Source organism: Homo sapiens, chromosome 9 (assembly GCF_000001405.40).
Source record: "Homo sapiens chromosome 9, GRCh38.p14 Primary Assembly".
NCBI lineage: Eukaryota > Metazoa > Chordata > Mammalia > Primates > Hominidae > Homo > Homo sapiens.
This window is the reverse complement of record NC_000009.12, coordinates 96229681-96242374: the sequence shown is the minus strand read 5'-3', so window position 1 is coordinate 96242374 and position 12694 is coordinate 96229681. Positions and strand designations below refer to the sequence as shown.

The following is a 12694-nucleotide window of genomic DNA, read 5'->3' as shown; positions in this document are numbered from 1 at the left end:
AAGAAATAAGTACATATGTTTAAACAATATTTATTGAGCCCCTATTTTGTACATACAGGTGTTTTGTCAACCCAAAATCACTTAAGAATGAAAATACTTATCATTACTTCCCTATCTGGAAACTGTGGTGGAGAAAGCACACTCCTTATATTTCTCAAAGAGTAACACTTTGAGATCCTTGGAAGAAAAGTGTTATACAAATTAATCATGCTTTAATTTCCATAGGAACCTGCTCATTTGGATTAATTGATTCATAATTGGGTTCAATTATGAAATAATGTAATTCCAAATGTGATGTGAAGAAAAATAAAACCTAGAAAACTTTTGTGGATTTTTTTTTTTACTTTTTCTTTTCTTTCTTTTCTTTCTCTTTCTTTCTTTCTTTCTTTCTTTCTTTCTTTCTTTCTTTCTTTTTCTGTTCTTTTCTTTTTTTTTTTTTGACAGGGTTTCACTCTGATGTAGCCTAGGCTGGAGTGTAGTGGCACGATCTTGGCTCACTGTAACCTCTGCCTTCCAGGTTCAGTGGATCCTCCTGCCTCAGCCTCCTAAGTAGCTAGGACTACAGGCATGTGCCACCGTGCCTGACTAATTTTTCTATTTTTAATGGAGATGAGGTTTTGCCATGTTGCTCAGGCTGGTCTCGCACTCCTGGGCTCAAGCAATCGTCCTGCCTTGGCCTCCCAACATGCTGGGATTACAGGCATGAGTCACCATGCCAGCCTTTTTTCTTTCTAAAGATGCCAAACCCTTTGTTCTGGGAATAAGGTAATAAAACCCCATTATGAATCCCCATGCCAGGCCACAATGTGGTTAGCCCACAGGTGGAAACATGGTGTTGGGTTTTTAGGGCACAATGTGTGATTGTTTTTCTTACCACAACAGGAAGAGGTTATGAGGTATGTGCTACTCTTGGTTCCTAACTGAAGTGTGAAAGTGGGAATCCAGAGTGCTTTCAGTTGCTCCAACTTTGGTTATATGTATTAGAAACAAACTTCTGAGATAGAGTTGCCAGATTAAATACAGGACCTCCAGTTAAATTTGAATTTCAGATGCCTATGAATAGTTTTCAGTATAAGTATGTCCCATGCAATACTTGGGATACGATTGTGCTGAAGTGGTTTTCATTGTTTGTCTGAACTTCAAATTTAACTGGACATCCTGTATTTTTATTTGCTGTCTTGCAACTTGGTTCTGAGAGAGAGACCCGAGTTCTTCCCATTCACACTGTGTGTTGGGCAGGGCATTTGGGCCACTTGATGTTGGCTAGGTAGGTTCTCATCTTGAGAAACCAAATTTCTGATTCCCAGCTCTGTGCCGGTACTGTGCCTTTTTCCACTCAAGATCTTAAAACTTTGCCTAGGAAGAGAAGGGTCGGGAAATGGTGGGATGGGGGCTTGAGTGTTAATTTCTGAGTCTTCTTCCTGGGGTGGATTGCTTCTGTGCCATGGTCTTTGTTTCCCGTTGTAGGTGCTGACCCCATATGCTGTCTCGACTGCAATGACAAAGTATCTAAATACAAATGTGATAACCAAGACTGCTGATGAGTTTGTCAAAGAGTCATTGAATTATGTCACAATTGGAGGTGAAACCTGTGGCTGCCTTGCCCATGAAATCTTGGTAATTGATAACTTCTCCTTTTCTTGAAGCCAGGGAGGGAGGACACGCAGGTGGCCCTGGCAGGGCTGGGCTAGCTCTTCCTTGCTGCTGGAGCACTCATTGATGCGTTAATATAGCCAGGTACAAGGACTATGTGGCGAGGTGGAGAGAAGCCGGAGCCTGGGAGCTCAGCCACTAGATAACCCCGAAGTTGGCAAGTCTCATTCTTGGCTGCCTCCCTCCTCCCCTCAGAAAGTAAGGTGGCTCCCAGGAGCTGTTGGGCAGGGAAGACCAAGATATATGGCGCTTCCACGTGGGGGCTGCTGTCTTCTCTTGACCCTCTATTCCAGTCAATGTTTAGCTATCAGCCCTCCAGGCAAAAAAACAAAACAAGCACAAACCACTTTGATGTGTAGCATTTGACTTCCACGGTATAAATACTTCCAGCATGGCTGAGTTTAAGCCACGGACATGACGCTGTGTGCATGAATTGAGGAGTGCATGGTGCACAGAGGGCTCTTTTTTTAGTTTTCATTTTTATTTTACTTTAAGTTCCAGGATGCATGTGCAAAACGTGCAGGTTTGTTACATAGGTATACATGTGCCATGGTGGTTTGCTGCACCTATCAACCCGTCATCTAGGTTTTAAGCCCTGCTTGCACTAGGTATTTGTCCTAATGCTCTCTCTCCCCTTGCCCCCCACCCCCCGACAGGCCCCGGTGTGTGATGTTCCCCTCCCTGTGTCCATGTGTTCTCATTGTTCAACTCCCACTTATGAGTGAGAACATGTGGTGTTTGGTTTTCTGTGTCTGTGTTAGTTTGCTGAGAATGATCGCAGTGGGCTCTTATGAGTGAGTGCAAGCCAGCTCCAGCATGCCACAGATCCAGCATATGGCAGAAGAGGCTCTTACCACTCCTGGACTGCTTTTAAAAACAAACACAAACATGAAACAAAGGTAGACTTGAGTATTGCTCACTAATACTGAAGCAAACATAACATTGGCATAGCTCTGACTCCAGTCCCACCAAAGAAAGTTAGATGGGGTTTCCTCACTTACCCATCATCTGCCAATTTCCTCCTCTGTCTCATTGGCTTTTCTACTGCAGGAATTGGATCTCTCTCTGTCTTTCATGGATGGTAGAAGGATTCATGGCTCCATGCGCTAAAGTCTACCAAAGCATTCCTTTATCTGCTGGGACTTAAAGACTCTGGCAAGAGATATTGAACTTTCTCAATTACTTGCTATTTTTATGTAGAACCTCAACAATGTGCATAATCACCAATGTAACTCACACTACAAAGCAGACATGCAGAGAGGATATAAAGTCTTTATTTTTTCTGTTGCTGATCTGGTCTTTTTCCAGATCACCACTTGCTGCAGGAAAATTCATCGAATGTCCAATGAGTCTAAACTGAGTTTGATCTAGTCATCTCAACTGGCCATTTAGGAAATGTACTCTTAGTCTGTTATTTAGGGAGAAATGTTCATCCTTCCCTGGAGGCTCCCTTCTTCCTGCCCCTCTCACTAGGTGGCGCTGGGAGAGGATGCCCTGTGGTCCATGACGGTCCTTCCATGTGTGTGGGCTGGTGTCCTGGGTGGCTGTTCACCTTGCTGAAGTTTATGTCTGTCAAGGATGAGGGAGATGAACCTTTCTGTCCTTTTGACTTGGCCAGTGGATACCCTGATAAGGTCTCCCCAGCTACTGAGGGCAGCAGACTGCTGTACTCTGCCACATCCCCCTCCAGCTACAGGCCCAAGGTCCATCTGCAGCTTTGATCCACATAGACCTCTGGCTGCTATCTCTACATCAGCACCAACGTGGACCTGAAGGAAGCTGGAAAAACCAAATCTCAGCACCTGTCTCACCATGCTGAGATAATTTCCTGTGGTTGGACTGCAGAGGAGTGGGGGCCATGGCCCCTTCTTTGCCCTCAGTGCCACCCTTACTCATGAATCACACTTCTCCATCCTTCATGCGCCAGGCCTTATCCTTCAGCCCCCAGCCTAGGCCAGAGCTCACACCCGACAGAGGACACACTTCTGACCACGCCTTTCTCTTTCTCTCCTCCCACTTCCCACTATCTCCAGGAAAGAAAAATTACAGATCTTTTTTTTTTGAGATGGAGTCTCGCTGTTGCCCGGGCTGGAGTGCAGTGGTGCGATCTTGGCTCACTGCCGCCTCCACCTCCCAGGTTCCAGCGATTCTCCTGCCTCAGCCTTCTGAGTAGCTGGGATTACAGGTGCTCTCTGCCACAACTGGCTAATTTTTGTATTTTTAGTGGAGACAGGGTTTCACCATGTTGGCCAGGTTGGTCTCCAACTCTTGGCCTCAGGTGATCTGCCTGCCTTGACCTCCCAAAGTGCTGGGATTACAGGCGTGAGCCACCACACCCAGCCAAAACTACAGATTTCTTGTGCACTTTCTCGGTGTCACAGCTTAGCCCTCTCCAGTGGGGATGGCATCCCTTCCACCTTCAGGAGGACACTGTGACCTTAGTCCTCCAGGATGCTGATGGCTTAAACAGAACTCATCAGCATCTGAAAAATGTTTCCTTGTAGAAAAATAAACATTTTATTTTTATAAAAATGGAATAAAATTTTATTTTATCTTGACACAGGGTCAAAGTTGAATATTTTATTTAATTTTGACATAGCCATGTTGCCCAGGCTGGAGTGCAGTGCAGGATCACAACTCACCGCAGCCTCTTTGAACTCCTGGGCTCAAGATTTCCTCCCACCTCAGCCTCCGCAGTAGCTGGGACTATAGGCACATGCCACTACATCCAGCTAATGTTTTAATTTTTTTTTTGGTAGAGACTGGGGCTCACTTTGTTGCCCAGACTGGTCTTGAACTCCTGGGCTCCAGCTATCCTCCCGCTTTGGCCTCCCAAAGTGCTAGGATTACAGGTGTGAGCCACTGTGCCCGGCCTGAATATTTTCTTGACCTTTCCTTTTAATTTCTTAGATAACAGATTCTAATTTCTTCAGGCAAACAGTTGCCAAGAACAGACCAGGAAAAGGAGTTTTTGTGCCTGGTGAAATAGGAGAGAAAATAAATGAAAATACGTTAATCATTAAAGCCAATTTCGAGTTTGCCAGGATTTAGAAAGATCATTGTATCTAAAGAGAGAGGCAACCATGTATCATCAAATGGTAAATAAGCGACCCTTTTATTACCAAGAGGCCAGGCAAAGATAGCACGCCCTCCACCCACAGGGAGCATGGGGCTGGGACCGAGGCAGGAATGGAGCCCCTACCTACAGAGACCCTGTCGTGCTTGGAGGCTTCATGCATGTTGCCTCACTTAGTTGTCCTAATAATCTTGTGAGATAGGACTTAGAGTCACCCTTTTACAATGGAGGAAAACAAAGCTCAGAGCTGCAACAGCTGGCCCATGGCCACCCAGCTGGTAATGGTGAAGCTAGAATTTAAGTCTGCTTTTGTCTGGGGCCACAGCCTTTTCTGGCTCCTACATGGCCCTTCCAGGCTGGGAAGGGGTAGACAAAGATGGAGATGGAAGAGGGACTCTTTTAGGACTTTTTAAAGGGGGCTGGAATTGTAATTTATTTTGCTTATTTTCTTTATGGCTGACCTCACTATGGCAAAACATTTAGTTCAAGACAGAGCTACTGAAAGGGCTTGACTTTGCTGTGAGATAAGAAAGCTCGGAGAGAAAAATGAAGTTCTTGAGGAAGAAGTTGTGTTGATTCAGCGACGTGGCTAGTGGGAGGAGAGGTCAGCTTTGGCTCCCAGAAGCTGTCATTAGTCCCTTGTCTTCAAATATCTCAGAGGAATGCAGAGATCTGAGGATCTGAGCTGGCTGACAAAACATGAATAGCTCCCCTAAAAGCTCAAGTTTTCCTCTGGTTGGAATCCTGTTGTTCTGTAGGGAATAGGTGGATTGAGGCATGTTGGATTAATAAAGTTATGCTGTGAATCATTATGAAATGATTGCTTCTGGGGTCCTGGACCCCAGAACTGTGCAAGACACAGTTGCAATTTGGTGGCAAGGAATCTTTCAAGGCCCGTACCTACAGCCTGAAATACATTGAACTGAAGGCTTCCCCCTCTTTGAAAAGCAAGTGCTGCATGTTGATAATCTATACCTTTCTGTGACTGACTTCCATTCATCCAGGCTTCACGTATTTCCTTAGCGCCCACTATGCCTTGGAGTTGTGCCAAATGATGGAAAGCCTTTCTGATTCTCTCCTGGATCCTCATTTTATTTATTTATTTATTTATTTATTTATTTATTTATTTATGACAGACTCTCGCTCTGTCACCCAGGCTGGAGTGCAATGCTGTGATCTCAGCTCAATGCAACCTCTACCTCCTGGGTTCAAGTGATTCTCCTGCCTCAGCCTCCCGAGTAGCTGAGACTACAGGCATGCGCCACCATGTCTGGCTAATTTTTGTCTTTTTAGTAGAGACGGGGTTTCACCATGTTGGCCAGGCTGGTCTCAAACTCCTGACCTCAAGTGATCCACCTGCCTTAGCCTCCCAAAGTGCTGAGATTACAGGTGTGAGCCACCATGCCTGGCCCAGGATCCTCATTTTAACAGAAGCTTGGTAGAAAGGACTTGAAGACAAGTGGGGACATACTCACTAAGAGAAAAAGTAAGTCAGGGAGGTGGTTAACACAGAGTTCTCTTCATTTAGAATTTCCAGACCGGGCATGGTGGCTCACACCTGTAATCCCAACACTTTGGGAGGCCAAAGCAGGAGGATCACTTAAGTCCGGGAGTTTGAGAACAGCCTGGGCAACATAGTGAGACTCTGTCTCTGAAAAAAAAAAAAGAAAAAATTAGCCAGGCATGGTGACACACTCTTATGGTACCAGCTACTCAAGAGGCTGAAGTGGGAGGATCCCTTGAGCCCAGGAGGTTGAGGCTGCAGTAAGTCGTGATCGTGCCACTGCACTCCAGCCTGGGTGACAGAGCAAGACCTTGTCTCAAAGAAAAAAAAATCCTTAGGGCTGATTGTACTAGGTCGTCCAAAGGAGTTTAAAAGGACTGGCTACTTTGGCGTCTGAGAAAACCTTGTGAGCTGAGAAAGTGTCACAAGACCCTTAAACTTTATCAATTACATAAAAGGTTCTGGGGCTCCACTTTAGTAGTCAGAAAAAAATATTTTTAAAGACCACAAAGATGAACTGAGGTACTTGTTATTCCTTCCTCCCCAACACTGATGCTTCTCTCTGTTTAAGGCGGGCTTTCTGAGCCTGATCCCGGCCTGGGCCTTCTACAGCGGTGCCTTCCAAAGGCTGCTCCTGACACACTATGTGGCATACCTGAAGCTCAACACCAAGGTCAGGTAGCCAGGCGGTGAGGAGTCCAGCACAACCTTTTCCTCACCAGTCCCATGCTGGCTGAAGAGGACCAGAGGAGCAGACCAGCACTTCAACCTAGTCCGCTGAAGATGGAGGGGGCTGGGGTCACAGAGGCATAGAATACACATTTTTTGCCACTTTACTTGAGTCTGAATATCTCTGGGAAAGTTGTGGTGCCAATCTGTGCTGTTGTCCTGAAGTGCTCACCTGTTCTCAAACAGGGTTCCTGAAAGACCCAGGAAATTGGTGTGAACCCAAAAGTGTCTGAGACAGATCTCAATCATTTAGAAAGTTTATTTTGCCAAGGTTAAGGACGTGCACCTGGGAGGCAAGTTTGTGCCTTTCTCCAATGATGATTTTGAAGGCTTCAATATTTAAAGGGAGAATATTGGGGAAAGAGGAAGAAATTTTGCAAAGGTATGGGCAGATAAGAGACAAGCGGTTGCATTCTTTTGAGTCTTTGATCAGCCTTTCACCAAATACACAATTCACATGTGGGAGGGGGTAGAGGAATAGTCACTTATGCCTTGTCTAGCTCAGTGACTCTGCTTTTTTACATCAGAGGAAGCAATCAGATGTGTACTTGTCTCAGGTGAGCAGAGAGATGACTTTGAGTTTTGTCCTTTCTCTCCGTCCTGTGAAGACAAGTGATCAATTTACATTGTCAGGATAAAATTCCACAGAACCATTTTAGGGTAAAGATCTTGGGACACACAAGGAATTTCTTAGTGGGCAAATTGCAAAGGAGGTCTGTAGCTTTTTTTCTTTGTAGTCATCTTATTTAGGAATAAAATGGGAGGCAGGTTTACCTGATGCAGCTCCCAGCTTGACTTGTCCCATTGGCTTAGGGATTTTGGGGTCCCAAGATTTATTTATCTTTCACATTGAACAGAGGAAGACGTCAGGCAACAGTTACATCAGGCCAGTTTCTGGTCTCCTCCCGACCCACATCAATGAATGCAACACCAGCTTTATCTATTTTATTTATATTTGAGGTTCTATATAAGATTGTTGGTAAAAACAAAAACAGGATAGGATACTCAAAATGTTTAAAAAACCCTTGCTCTAATGCAGGAGTTGGTAACTAGAAATGAGGTTTCTGAGGGTCTCCAACTCTTGGGGTGCTGGGGACACATGGAGTGATGTGTCCAGCCCTAGGTCTAGAATTATCTGAAGGACTGCATCCTTACTTGTCCGGAGATTGAGGGAGTTGTTGGCTGGGACCCCAGCAGGGGCTGTCACATGAAGCCCCTATACATGGCCTCTCTGAGTGGCTGCTTGGTCTTCCTCGAAGCATGGTGGCTGCCTTCCAAGAATGAGCATCCCAAAGAAAATTGGGAGGAAGCTGTACTGTCCTGTATGACTTACCCCTGGAAGTCACGTGGTATTGTGCCCAAGCCCTCCCAGATTCAATGGGAGAAGATGCAAAACCTGCCATGGGAAGAGCATCCGATGGAATGGTGGATATTGTCATGCTCATCTCTAGAAAATGTGTTCTCCATTCATCCATCTTAGTGTAAGTGTTTGTCCTAAGTTTAGTGTAAGTAGGATGAATTACTTGGCCTTTCCACTGGCACTAGAGCGACTTATAAAAGTGTAGACACTGTGTTTCTAGAACCTTCCAATCAAACCCTGGTGAATTGGCCTTTCAGGAACAACTTCTACAACCAGCACCTTAGGTAAGAACAGAGACACACTTCAGCTTAAATGGCCTGGGGCAGATATTTAGAGGTAAGTTTTAGATGTGTGATACGGGTTTTCTAGTGTAATAATCCTAGGTTGATTTGCACGGTTGTCCAACAAGCTTCTTGAGGGTTCTTAAAGTAAGAGAGAATTTCCTAACAGTAAAGGCCCCAAGACGTTGAACTGACTTCTTACGAAATGAGGGCAGAAAAACTCCATATTTTAAGATCTTTATCCTCATCATCATTAGTAGTAGATAATAGCTATCATTCATTGAACACTAATTGTAGTCAGGGACTATGTAAAGCCTCATAACAACTGAAGAAGTAGGTACTATTAGTATTGCCTTCATTTTACAGATGAGGAAACTGAGGCAGAGAAAACTTAACTCATGTGTGTGGGTTCACTTGACCAGTGAGTGGCAGAGCTGGCGTTTCCCGCACACCTTGGCTAAAGCAGAACAGTAGAGCCCTACGTCTGGGCTAAGTTTATTTAATCGAAATTAATGGCAAGGGGTGAATGCCGTGCCCTCAAATCTGTATATTTCACTCTCACATGTTGTGGAGGCAACAGGAGGGAGCCAGGCTTCAGCAGCCAGGCCCATATGTCTGGATTTCAACACTGACCACTTTCCAAATTTACTATCCTCTGGGAATCATTCAGGAACAGGGAGGCCTGCCAAGTTTCACTGACCTTTTGTTTCTGCGGAAAAGTGCTGGGCTCTTGTTTCTCGCCTGATTCTCTTATCTTTGGAGGGCTTGGGACCCCAGGGCCCAGCATCAGAAGCCGGCCGTTTTGATAGACGTGTTCCCTCTGCGTCCTTGCAGCCTTCCATCTGTGCTACCTCCCAGGAAGCCGAAGGCCGCAGAGTCCCTTTCGGATGGCACTGGGAGCAGGAAAATGAGGTGATTATGGGCTGCTGCTCCAAGAAGTATTGGCAGCTGTTGCTGGGGCGGCTCCCTGGGGTGTCATCCCTTTCTTGCTCTTGTGGATGGGAACCAGAGCACCCCACTTCAAAGACTCTGTAAGCCAGGGCTTACCAGAGAAAGCTGAAGAGTCTAGGGCCAATTTTAATCAGTTTCTTGTGCTTCTCATGCCAAAAGAGATGATTGTCCTCACTATAGTTCATCCTATAGTGCGGCGGGCCTGACTCGCTACTGCCCTCTAATGTTCTGGGAGAGAAGCTGTTGGGTCTTTCCTACCTAATCTGGTAGAAATGTTAGAACAGAGGCTAATTTGGGGAAATAAATCTCTCAATTTTTTTGAGTTGCTTTGTGTGTGTGCGCGCGCGCATGTGTGTGTGTAAGGGGCAGGGTCTCTAAGAAAGAAAGAAAAGGAGGCGAGAGGAGGAAAGAACCTGTTTCAGTTTCACAGGCTCTGGCAAGGTGACTGAGGAAGCGCCAAGCCCCTTAGCCTCTTTGGGCTCTGGTTACCTCATCAGTAACATTAGAAGGTTTTATACATGATTTATCCTTTTTTATTCAGCTCTTATAGTCTATAAATCTCCAGTAAGTTGTGGAAATAAACTGTCTTTTAAAAATCTTTAAAAAACCATTTTCCGGCCGGGCGCGGTGGCTCACGCCTATAATCCCAGCACTTTGGGAGGCCGAGGCGGGTGGATCACGAGGTCAGGAGATCGAGACCATCCCGGCTAAAACGGTGAAACCCCGTCTCTACTAAAAATACAAAACATTAGCCGGGCGTAGTGGCGGGCGCCTGTAGTCCCAGCTACTTGGGAGGCTGAGGCAGGAGAATGGCGTGAACCCGGGAGGCGGAGCTTGCAGTGAGCCGAGATCCCGCCACTGCACTCCAGCCTGGGCGACAGAGCGAGACTCCGTCTCAAAAAAAAAACAAAACAAACAAACAAACAAAAAAAACAAAAAAAAAACCATTTTCCTAATTAGATATACAGTGTAGAAAATAGAAAAACTACAGAAAAAGATCAGAAAATAAAAATCCCAGCATTATCCCACCATCCAGAATGAACCACTCTTCACTGATTGTGAATTTCCTTTTATAATTTTCATGTGTGTGTTTTGTGTGTGTGCTTGTGAATCTAAGGGTAGATTTTATATCTGCCTTTCCTCTTAAGATTAAAGCATATTTCCTCGTGATAGTAGCTATTCCAAAGATGATTTATAATGTTTGCTTAATATTTGTTCATAGTACTGAACATAATTTATTTTACCATCCCTTTTTTATGTGCATCTAGGTGTTTTCTGATTTTAAAAATCTTATAGGCTGGGCACAGTGGCTCACACCTGTAATCCCATCACTTTGGGAGGCCAAGGCAGGATAATTGCTTGAGCCCAGGCATTTGAGACCAGCCTGAGACATAGTGAGACCCCTTCTCTACAACAAATTAAAAAATTAGCCAGGTGTGGTGGTGCACACCTGTGGTCCCAGCTACCTGGGAGGCTCAGGCTAGAGGATCTCTCTTGAGCCCAGGAAATGGAGGCTGCATGAGCTGAGATCACGTCACTCCAGTCTGAGCAACAGAGTGAGACCCTGTCTCAAAAAACGAACAAACAAACAAACAACCCCACAAAACCTTATAACAACATCCATCCTTGTATGTGCATTTTCTTGTTGTGATGTTTCAACTTCTTTTTATACTTTAATTCACATACTATATGATTCACCCATTTAAAGTATACAATTCAGTTGTTTTTAGTATAGTCACAGAGTTGTGTAACCATAATCACAATCAACTTTAGAACAATTTTAGAATATTTTCATCACCCACATGGAAACACAATAGCCATTAGCAGTCACTCCACGTTCCATACCCGAACCCCCCACCCTTAGGTAACCATTGATGTATTTTCTGTCTCCATTGACTTGCTTATTCTGGACTTTTATTTTATTTATTTATTTATTTATTTATTGAGATGGAGTCTCACTCTGTCGCCCAGGCTGGAGTGCAATGGTGCAATCTCAGTTCACTGCAACCTCCACCTCCTGGGTTCGAATGATTCTCCTGCCTCAGCCTCCCAAGTAGCTGGGATTACAGGAGTGCGCCACCATGCCCGGCCAATTTTTTTGTATTTTTGGTAGAGACAGGATTTCACCATGTTGGCCAGGCTGTTCTTGAGCCCCTGACCTCAGGTGATCTGCCTGCCTCAGCCTCCCTAGGTGCTGGGATTACAGGCATGAACCACCAGGCCTGGCCGTATTCTGGACTTTTAATGTAACGAATATAACATGTGGATTTCTGTTTTTGGCTTTTTCCACTTAACACCATGTTTTCAAGGTTCATCCATGTTGTAGCATGTATTAGTACTTCAGTCCTTTTTTATTGCTGAATAATATTCTATTGTATGAATAGACCACATTTTATTTCTTAGTTCATCAGTTGATGGACATTTAGATGGTTTCCACTTTTTGGCTATTGTAAAGAATGCTGCTATAAACATTTGGTACAAGTTTTTGTGCAGATATATGTTTTCATTTCTCTCGGTTATTTACCTAGGAGTAGAATCGCTGGGTCATGTGGTCACTCTGTGTTTAACCTTTTGAGGAAATGCTTCACTTTTCCAAAGTGGCTGAACCATTTTACATTATCACCAGCAGAGGGTGAGGGTTCCAGGTTCTCTATATCCTCACCAGTACTTGTTCTTTTTCTGTCTTTTTGGTGATAACTATACTAGTGGGTATATGAAGTGGTATCTCATTATGGTTTTCATTTTCATTTCCCTGACAGCTAATGATTTGAGCATCTTTCATGGGTTTATTGGCCATTTGTATATATTCTTTGGAGAAATGTATACTCAGATGCTTGATTCATTTTTAAAATGAGGTTGTTTGTCTTTTAATTGTTGCTGTGTGTGCATTACCAATTATTTCCCCAGAGTAGGATTCCTGGATAAAAAGTTTAATTTTTTTTTTTTTTTTGAGGCAGAATCTCACTGTTGTTGCCTGACGTAGAGTGCAATGGCACAATTTCGGCTCACTGCAACGGCACAATTTCGGCTCACTGCAACCTCCTGGGTTCAAGCAATTTTTCTGCCTCAGCCTCTCGAGAAGCTGGGATTACAGGTGCCTGCCACCATGACTGGCTAATTTTTGTATTTTTAGTAGAGAT

General features: G+C 44.6%; 1 protein-coding gene and 1 long non-coding RNA gene across 2 annotated transcripts in view; both read left to right on the top strand.

Moving 5' to 3' along the window:
- SLC35D2-HSD17B3 (SLC35D2-HSD17B3 readthrough) overlaps window positions 1-7069 on the top strand; it is a 148406-nt gene extending 141337 nt beyond the window's left edge. Inside the window, exons 25-26 of the long non-coding RNA NR_182427.1 lie at window positions 1468-1617; window positions 6805-7069. This is a non-coding gene — a long non-coding RNA (SLC35D2-HSD17B3 readthrough). The remainder of the gene's footprint in view (window positions 1-1467; window positions 1618-6804) is intronic.
- The window catches only part of HSD17B3 (hydroxysteroid 17-beta dehydrogenase 3), a 66871-nt gene extending 59802 nt beyond the window's left edge, over window positions 1-7069 (top strand). Inside the window, exons 10-11 of the mRNA NM_000197.2 lie at window positions 1468-1617; window positions 6805-7069. Of these exons, the coding sequence (NP_000188.1) occupies window positions 1468-1617; window positions 6805-6915 (261 nt within the window). The 3' untranslated portion in view covers window positions 6916-7069. The remainder of the gene's footprint in view (window positions 1-1467; window positions 1618-6804) is intronic.